Source organism: Homo sapiens, chromosome 2 (genome assembly GCF_000001405.40).
Source record: "Homo sapiens chromosome 2, GRCh38.p14 Primary Assembly".
Classification (NCBI taxonomy): domain Eukaryota; kingdom Metazoa; phylum Chordata; class Mammalia; order Primates; family Hominidae; genus Homo; species Homo sapiens.
This window is the reverse complement of record NC_000002.12, coordinates 13406436-13416875: the sequence shown is the minus strand read 5'-3', so window position 1 is coordinate 13416875 and position 10440 is coordinate 13406436.

The following is a 10440-nucleotide window of genomic DNA, read 5'->3' as shown; positions in this document are numbered from 1 at the left end:
CTTAAAAACATTAATGAATGATGAAAACATTACAAATTGTGTTACAAACAAAAAGTCTTTTGTTAAATACTTGCTCATTATGTTTATAGAAAGGAGAGATAAAGAAAATAGTTTCAAGATTATACGTTTGACAAATGTTTCTGTGAAAATTACTAAAGTCATTTTGCTGATATAAAATTAGTCCTTCAGTTGTTGAGATTGAATTGTTTTTACTGAGCATTATTAAAATTAAGTTTTTTTCAGTAATCAAACTATTTAATTTACAGATGTTCTCTAGGTGTTACTGTACAGTAATGATATTCTGAAGGCAATTATGTAGTAAAAGATTCCAAGCATGTTTGTGATATGTTTAATTCCTGACCCTTGGCTTTATTTAGTTAATAGTCTTTTATTCTTTCATTCATTTGATTTAATTCATTCATTCATGCAAAAGCTACTTATTGAGAGATTTCTAAGTGCTAAGCATTATTTTAGGTGTTAAGGGACATGATAGTGAACAAAACCAGCAAAACTCTGTGCCCTTATGGATTTCACATTCATGTGGTTGCAAATGCAAGAGATCAATACAGGCAAGTGTTAACACAAATTGGAAAAATCAAAAAAGAAGAGGGTGGTGACTAAAGGAACCAAAAGATTGAAGTACCACTTGGTCTGAGAAAATTTCTGGAACCAACTAAGAGAAAATTAGTCAATATTCTCTGTCTGTTTTTTTTTTTCTCCTTCTATCCTCTAAGAGTTTTATCTATTTTTTTCTATACTTTCTTTCTGCAAGCTGGACTTTTGTGCCCTGTAGATAACCACTAACATGATCCAGTCACATCCAAAAACATTTTAATCTCATTTTTGCTTCAAACTCCAAGAATAAGTTTTCTGATTATACTAGGTTGGTCAACTTTTGTCTCAACTGTGACAGATTGGGGGGATAATTAAATGTACTAAATGGTTGCCGCCAATATAATCTTATGAATGAGTGAAAATCTAAAAAGAGTAATAAAACTGTAGAGAATTCTGAAATCTCTTTTTGACACTCAGGGTGTCCTTATGGCTTTATGTCTATTCTGGTTCCCTCTACGTCTGGTAAGAAGTATTTCCCTTTGGGATTCTAACTCCTGTATGTCTATGTGTGGATGCTTACATATTTTTACAATTTAAAGCAATATAGTTAGGCTCTTTATTTTTGGTTGGTAAATGGGTTTGTAAGATTTAAAGCAATAAAGAAGATAACAGAGAAAAAGATGAGCTGGTTTAATTACTCATATATAAACTATTTCAAATATCTTCACATATTCAATATAATATCAAGAAAAAAGGTAAGAGATCTATGCTCATATGAATTGAGGAATATCACCTGGCCATTTTGAGCTTTCATTTTTAAAACCTATAGAACTTTCATTGTGGAATACATATTTATGTGACACATTCTATCTGATATTGTCCAGGTCCTGAGGGGGAAAAATATTTTCTTGCTTTCTTGACAGGGTTTTTGCAAGGATCAGAAAAAAAGAAGCAATATAAAATGACAAAAGTAACGTATAAAGGGCCTAAAAATGGAAGTGATCACTATTAAAAAAGATCATGCTTTTAAGAGGGCGTTGCAAACTCTAAAATGTGGCTAAGTTTGCAACATATTTGTCAGGCTTTCTGGGAGATTACTGAGAGGTGTCTGGGTCATTACCAGCTAGCCATCTGGTGGAATCTAAAGGAATTAGAAGATGAAATCCATTTTTCCTGCTGCATTTATTTGAGCAAGGTGATTTTATCATGCATATCCTGTACCATGCTTTGTATTTTACAAGGCTTGCTGGCCATCACTGCAGTGCAGTGCCCCCAGGACACCATCAATGCTTCCCTAGGGAAAACCTGAACAACAGCTCAAGCTTTGAGAGTTTGCTCACCCGTGGAAAGGGGTTGCAGGAGCCCAGTAGGCATCCACTGCTAATTTGAGGCTGTTGCATTTGTATTCTCCTTCTCACCCACTGAGTTCATTCTTCTTATAAATAAGAGTATTTGCTCTAACTTTGTAGTTCTTCTTCTCCAAAAAGAACATCTGGACATTCTTTGCTGAAAAATATACAGCATACCTCTCCTGAGAATATTTTTCATCTAAAAATGTAATGTTTTAAATCAGGTAATATTAAAGAGTAGGATTAAATATCATAGCTTGATCTCCTAGACTGGGGAAGCACATGGCGTTGCTTTAAACTCAGATGGCAGAGCTGAATTTTTCCAACAAATAACAAATAGCAATTAGAATGTAAGCAAATGAAGCATACAAATTAGATGAAAATACTCTTCTCTTTAGTCAACTCTGTCTCTGTTTTGCCTTAGAACCCAATTGCCATATATCGTACTGACTGATCACTGCTTATTTCTTTAAACTGAAGCCAAAGGTCACTTCTTATAGGAATCTTTCCATGATTCCCTCCCTTTATACTTCCGTTCTTCATCTCATGATTTTTCACGCTAGCATAGTTCTTGGCATATAGTAGGCAATTTTGATATGTTAGTTAAATGAATGAATTGGGCTTAAAACACTGTGGTAGGCAGAATAATGCCTCCTCAGTATGTCTGTATCCTAATCTCCAGAATCTGTAAACATGTTAGTTTGCAAAGGCAAGGGGGAAATAATAATGCAGGTGGAATTAAGGTTTCTCTTCAGATGACCTTGAGATGGCGATGTTGTCTCTGATTATGTATGAACCCAATGTAATCTCAAGGGTTTTATAAGTGAAAGAAAGACACAAGAAAGTGTGATGATGCAGCATGCAAAAGGCCCTACTGGCTGTTACTGGCTTAGAAAATGGAAGAGGGGCAAGAGCCAAGGACTGAGGGCTCTTGGAAAAGAGCCTAGGAGCTGGAAAAGACAAGGAAACATTTTGTTTGTTCTGCAAAAGCAATGCTGCCCTTCTAACATCTTGATTTTAGCCCAGTGAGATCTGTTTCGGGCTTCTGCACTCTAGAATTGTTGAGATAATTAATTTTTTTTTTTGGAGACAGAGTCTCGCTCTGTCGCCAGGCTGGAGTACAGTGGACCGCGATCTCATCTCACTGCAACCTCTACCTCCCAGGTTCAACTGATTCTCCTGCCTCAGCCTCCCAAATAGCTGGGCCTACAGGCTAATTTTTGTATTTTTACTAGAGACAGGGTTTCACCATGTTGGCCAGGATGGTCTTGATCTCCTGACCTCATAATCCTCTCGCCTCAGTCTCCCAAAGTGCTGGAATTACAGGCGTGAGCCACCGCTCCTGGCCCAATTTGTGTTGTTATACCCAAATTTGTGGTAATTTGCTAAAGCAGCAATAGAAAACCAGTATAGATACCGTAATATAGGCTTTTTTGTTTGTTTCCTCCTTTTCTGCTGGTGCCAATGGTGAAGTCATGGGCAGGATCTTTCAATGTCAACAGAAGTATAACCATAGTATTTCCTGATTGAATGTACTTCTTGAAAGTTTAGTAATGAAAATGCATTGAGTTTAGAGATTGCACAGCTCTGAATCCTAGCCCAACACAAGACATTTGTGACCTTGGGCAAATCACTAAACTGTACTGAATGTTTTTATTTGTTTAATGAAGACCATAATATACACTTTGCAGGGGCACTGTGAACACTAAATGATCTGCTAAAGGCCATCGTACACAGTCAAAGTAAAATAAATACACTATGGCAGAGATAATCATTTTGCATGCTGAATGAAAAATGTAATAAGGCATAAGCACCAATATGTGTTGAGAACTGTGATGATATTTCTTGGGGGTGTTAGAACTGACACTGGCCTTGCATGAAGGGAAAGGTTCACACGTGTGGACACAGCACAGAAAGGGCACTCCAGGCTGTTCAAGTTGTGTTCAGGATAAGACATTACAAGCAGCCCAGAGCAGCTGCTGGTGACACCACTTAGTGGCCACAAGGGTGATGCTGGAGCCAGAAGGCTTTGGATTGCCTGGTTCCACAAATTCCAGAGGTTGGCAGTTTAGGGTCATTATTCACAAACCCTTTGTGCCTCCGATTACTCAAATGTAAATAGACAGGAAGCTCTGACAGTTTAATGTGTCAGTACACCTGAAGCACAAGAGCAGAGCACTTATACAAGTCTAGTAAAAATTAGCTAATGTTGGTGTTATTCACTGCATGTGGAGAAGTGAGTATGGGGAAGGTGTTCTGGAATATTTTCAGCCTGGATCGCTTGAGCAGCAGCCTCTTCAAACCCATGGAAAATGTCTTGTATGGAGGAATTTCATGCAAGTGTGGGCAGGAGTGGGCAAGAGAGTTCAACTAGAGTTGAAGTTCAATGAGGATAGAAATTAGATTCTGCTACTGTAATTCACCAATTTATCCTCAGCACTCAATGTCTTGCCAATAGAGGTACTTGTTTGAATGTACTTGTCTAAAGTTTAGACTATAACCTAAAGTCTAAAATTAGGTACTTGTTTGAATGTACCTGTCTGAAGTTTAGACTATAGCCTAAAGCCTAAAATTAGATTTTGCTGTTGTAATTCACCAATTTATCCTCAGCACTCAATGTCTTGCCAATAGAGGTACTTGATTGAATGTACTTGTCTAAAGTTTAGACCATAGCCTAAAGTAGCTTATCAGTCCTATTTTTTGCATAAACTAGGGTGTAATCAGTGTGAATGAAACACTTGAAGCCCATTACATCAAGCCAGATAGACCATAGTTTAAATCATCCAGGGATAGGAGTATATATTTCTCCTCTGCTTGCTTGTATGAAATTGGGTGAGTCATTCAAACTCACTTGGTCTCAGGTTCTACCTTTATGAAATGACAAATCTGTGGGTTGTGTTCTAGTCTGTTACTTTGCATGGTTTTGTAAAATAATAATAATACCATAATTATGTAAATCCCAGTCCAGATTCTATCTTTCTATTTTACAATCTATATAACTTACCCACCATATTTGCTAGGAGTGTAACTAAATGTTACTGAAACATCAAGAGTTCAGTCTAGGTCCTGTTGCTTGCTTCACAGAAAGCCAATCACTGAAACAAGGAGCATTGCCGGGGAAAGGGGCTTTATTTGGATGCTGCAGCCAAGGAGAATGGGACATCACTCAAATGTCCCAATGGACTAAATCTTCTCAATGGACTAAAATTAGACGTAGAAAAATAAGGGAAGAAATGTAACTAAGTATGGAAAAATAGGAATTAGGAGAGTATTAAGAAGAGAAGGTGTTCAACAGGCAGCAGCAGGTTACTTAGGCAACCATTATCGGCAAGGGGTCTGGGTCTGGCATCTCATTGTCCAGGTGCAGTTATCTGGTGAGTTGCAGTTCCTTGAAACTATCTTGGAAGGCTGATAGTTGGTTTCCTGAGAAAGGAACTCAGATAAGAAAAGTGTAACTTTCTTCAGTTTTAAGACTGGGAGGGTCAACTTTTTTCTTTACTTTTTTTTTCAAAAGAAACCATAAACATCAGTTCTATAGGACAATTGGGCCAGTTTCATAAACATTATAACATATAAGCAAAGTGTATAAGACACGTACTGGTCCATAATCAATGTTCAATGAGCCCCTTCCTTATTTCTCAGCCTTAGTAATATTTAAGTGCTTTTCTTCCATAAGTTAACAGGCATAAGGTGTTATCCACAGTCCTGGCAGAAGAGTAAGATGTCTTGTTGAATCTATCCCCTGGTTTATGTCTCCCACACTATTCTTATTTAAATGGAATTATCCTGTTTATCACCTAGGCATTTTACAGATAGACTCTCTGTAATATTAGTGCCATGCAGAGCATTATAGCCATGCTAAAATATCATTTTTCCTGGGAAATAATATCAGTATCAAGGTGTATGGCAAGAAAATATAAATCTTTCAATGGGCTAAGAATTAAAAAAAGAGTAATGATTCTGTACAATTATAGTATAAGAAAAATGAGGGTGGATATTTAGGTAGTGTTGATTAGAAAGTAGAAAACAATCATTTGCTGCAGTGACTGATTTATGGTTTCCTCAGCGCACACATTGAGGTTATTTCCTCCGGAAGGAAGCTGTAGACAAATTCATAATTTATAATATTTAGAAATACACTTGTGATAAAGTAGCTAGTGTTAACAGGAGAACAGGAGAACAGCTATTCCAAGGCTTACGCTACTGTTTTTAGGATGTTGATGGTACTATTTCTATGATCATTAATAATTTTAATGTTTGTCAATAAATCTTATTTTCATACTAATAGCTGCATGAAGCACCATAGGTATAGTAAAAAGAATTAGGGAAGCTGGATTTGAGACAAGCTTCTTTACTCTCTGGCAATGGAATTCTTTCCCCTAATTCCATGAACTTCACTTACCATATCAATAAAATGTGTAAAACATACTGCAATATGTTAAAGCACTGTAAAAATGATAAAGTGACATAGCATAACCATTGATTTGTGAATGTTAGTTAAGGAATACTACAGTATAGTCCTTGTCAAATCTATGAAAAAATATATGTGCATGTGTTATGATATCCAAAGGGTAAGACCTTTTTACATATTAACCACAGGTATGAATTTCAGTGGTTGGTTGGTTGGCTATTTTTTTTAATGTAATTTTCCCAATTACTCCACCCAACATTCCCTGCTCTCCAGTATAATGACTCTCAGATATTCATTTGGGCCCAACACAAGATTAGCTTTTTTATATTTCTTGTGCAAAATTTTCTAAACCGTGTTATTTTAAAAAGATCAAAAATAAGTCTGTTAAGAAAATTGAAGTTATCAAATTAGATTAATAAACAGACATAAACTTGAAACATCCTCTACCACATAATCTGCGCATGGCTGTAGAAAGTATAATTTTTGTGGAGCCTCACAACATTGCAAGTAAGTAACTTTTTCATCCCAATTGGTTATTTAGATTTGTTTTCCTATCTAGAAAGTCTGGGTTTTAGGCCTTTGTCCTAAAAACTTTACACAACTTTAAAACTGAATATCTTTAGTCTTAATGAAACCTGAATGACTGTGTAAATGAATTCCTATATATTTCTACCATTTCATTAAGAGTAAGGTATAGGAAAGTATCACTGAAGCATGAATTTCCTGATCGTGACAATTACTGCCACAATCTTATATTCACACACTCTGTGGTGACCCATTTCTGGGTTGGAAATCCAGAATAGAGTATGAATCATATAAATACACATGATTTCAAGCTTAAGGAGGTTTTATCCTAACTTCCTTGGGGTGGGAAGCATCAAGGAGGAGTTAACCTTACTGTGCATCAGCCTCTAACCATTTTCATGAAAGTGAAAATTTGATTGTCCCAATTAGAAATGAGGTTGTCATGGTTGTTATTTTTCTGATTTATTGCCTGTCAATGACAGACACCAACAGTAGACCTTGGATTCTTGAAATATAATACAGATAGCCCCTCTTACCTTTTAAATTGGAAATTCTTTATTTTTCTTCCCTAGAAAAGGGTATGCTGTTTAGGATTGTGTGTGTGTGCATGTGTGAGTGTGAATATCCAAACATGCTTGTTCACGTGTTGATTGTGGGAACTGGTTGACATGTATCATCTAATTTAAAATTCACAACAATGGGAAGGATTATATTTCCTATCAGTTCATTGTAAATTACAGTTAATAAATGATATAAATTGAGTCAATACCCATAGCTATCTGATTCAAAATATTGCATGTATATCTTTGTGTGCTTGTGCATGAGGGATATATGTATTTACATGTATACTTAAAAAAATGATTGCAGCATATTGCTAATCCAGATCTTGTCAGGAGTCCACCTACAGTACTATGCATAATTTTCCTCTGTCAGTTTGTATCATTGGCCAAAATCTAACAGATGTTTCTAAGAGTAAAAGCACAGGGAACTAACACTGTTGTCACTGATGAAGTACAAGTGCTCACACAGCCATCTATATTTCATGCCTGTGAGGTTGATCAGCCACATTTCTAGTTTGGGAGTCAGGTATGCCTATTCTTATAACTTTTATATTAATAAAACACCATTTTGAAGTTTTGGGTTGACAATAAAAAATGTACCTCAACTAAAACTGATATCCAATGTCCTTGCACAATTTTTTTGAGAACATTATCCTTTCCACAGCAAATATCTTAACTTTTTTTGAAAATTAATTTATCATAAATGGAAAAGTTTATTTCTGGATTGATATTCCATTCTGTTCTATTGATCCAGATACTTATAGTTATACCAATACCATACCCTATTGATTACTGTAACTTTATAGTGAGTTTTAAAATCAAGTAGTATAAGTCCTCTAGCATTACTTTTTTTTCCCGAGTTTTTCTGGCTATTTAAAGGCCTTTACATCTTCAGGTAAATTTTAGGTGAGTTTAAGAATTTTAACAACAAAAAAATTCTGCTTGGCTTCTGACAGACATTGAATTGAATCTATAGATCAATTTTGGGATGAATTGCCATCTTTATAATATTGAGTCTTCTAATCAATGAAAATGGAATGGCCTTCATTTATTTGGATCAATTATCTCACCAATACTTTGTAGTTTTAATTGAATATGTCTTGAAGTTATTTTATTAAATGTATTCCTAAGTATTCTATATTTTTGTTATTATAAAACAAATTATTTTCATAATTTCATATTTAAATTATTTGTTGTTAGTACATAAAAATGCAATTTATTGATCTTAACATCTTGCAACCTTGCTAAACTTCTTTATTAGTTCTAGTAGTTTTAAATGCAGATTTGTTAGGATATTCTACAGAATGATGTCATCAGGGAATAAAAACAGTTTTACATCTTACTTTCTTAGTAGAATGACATTAATGTTTGTTCCGATGGATGGATTGATTGTTTCATTAATAGATTTGCCTTATAATAATGGCGAGAACAACTGTACAATATTGAGTATCTTTCTATGTATTTGTAGTTTTATTTTGGATTTATGAGATTATTTAGAAATGCGTTATTTAATACCTAAGAATTTGGATATTTCCCCTCTCTATTAATTTCTAGTTTAATTACACTATCTACATAAATAATATATTACATTGATTTGAATCACTCAAATTTGTTAAAGTTTCCTTTAGGATATGTCTGTTTTGGTGAATGTTCCACATATACTTGAAAAAATGACATTCATGTGTTTGGGTAGAATGTTCTATAAATATCCATTAGATCCAGTTGGTTGATAATGTTGTTCTAAATTCTTGTTGGTTTTCTATCCATTTATCATTTACAGATAAATGTTGAAGTTCTCTATTGTGAATTTGTATGTTTTTTCTTTCTCTTCTGTCAGATTTTTCCATTTATAAAACCCTTTGTTAGACATATCCCCATTTGAGATTGTTGTGTCTTTTAGGTGAATTGATCATTTTATCTTTATATACTATCTCTTTTTGTTTTGTTAGTTTTATTTGTTCTAACATCTGTTTTGTCTCCAGATTACTATTGATTTGTTTTTGCATGGTATAACGTTTTTCCATGTTTCTAATTGTAGCTTATCTATATCGTTGTTCTTAGGGGGTTTATTTTAGATGGTGTTGGGTTATTACCTTTTAACCCGTTATCCAAATCTAGTCTCTTTTATTAGTGTTTTAAGACCACTTACATTTAATGTAATTAATGATATATTTGGATTTGTCTACTTTTTCTTATTTACCTTCTATTAGTTCCCTCTGCTTTTTATTTATCTTTTTTCCCTTCCTCTTTCTACTTTCTGTTTGGGTTATTTAAACATGTGTACAAAGCGTTTCACTATAATTTATCTAGTTTCAAGATTATTTATTCATTTATTTACACTAGTCTTTTTACACTAATTTGTTGTTCTAGGGATTAAAATTTACGAACTAAACTTTTATCGTCTTCTTAGAATTAACACACTCCAATTTCAACTGAATATAGAAAGCACTTATTTGTACTTCCAAATGTATTCTGTAATCAATTTGTCTATAAACTGTTCTATTTTTTTCCATAAAAATGCATGGTATTTTAATTGAAATTCTAACAATTTTAAATTAATTTAGGAAAAATTACATTTAATATGTTGAGTTTTTCTTGATATGTGTTGACATTCAAAACCACCTTTTTTCAGGAATATTTTTAAGATTTTGGGGTGTTAAAGCTATTTCTTGTTAAACTTATATATGGTTCTTTTATTTATCTCTATTCTATCTTAAGTGGGTCACTTTCTTTCCTTACATATTTATTTTTTGAATGTGCATAAAAAGATACTGATCTTTTGAATATTATTTATATCTCTAGCGAATTTACTAGATCCCCTTATTTTTCTCATAAATCTGCCAATTTTGTTGAGTTTTATTGGCACATTTATGTGTACATTTATACCATTTACATCAAAGGTGACACTACTTCTTCCTTTCCAATTTTTATACTCCATTTCTGGTGCCTAATCACACTGGCTAACTTCTCTACAATGGCGTTGAATTGTCAAAGAGATGGTGGCTTTCCTTGTCTAGTTCCAGACAAAAGAAAATAACAG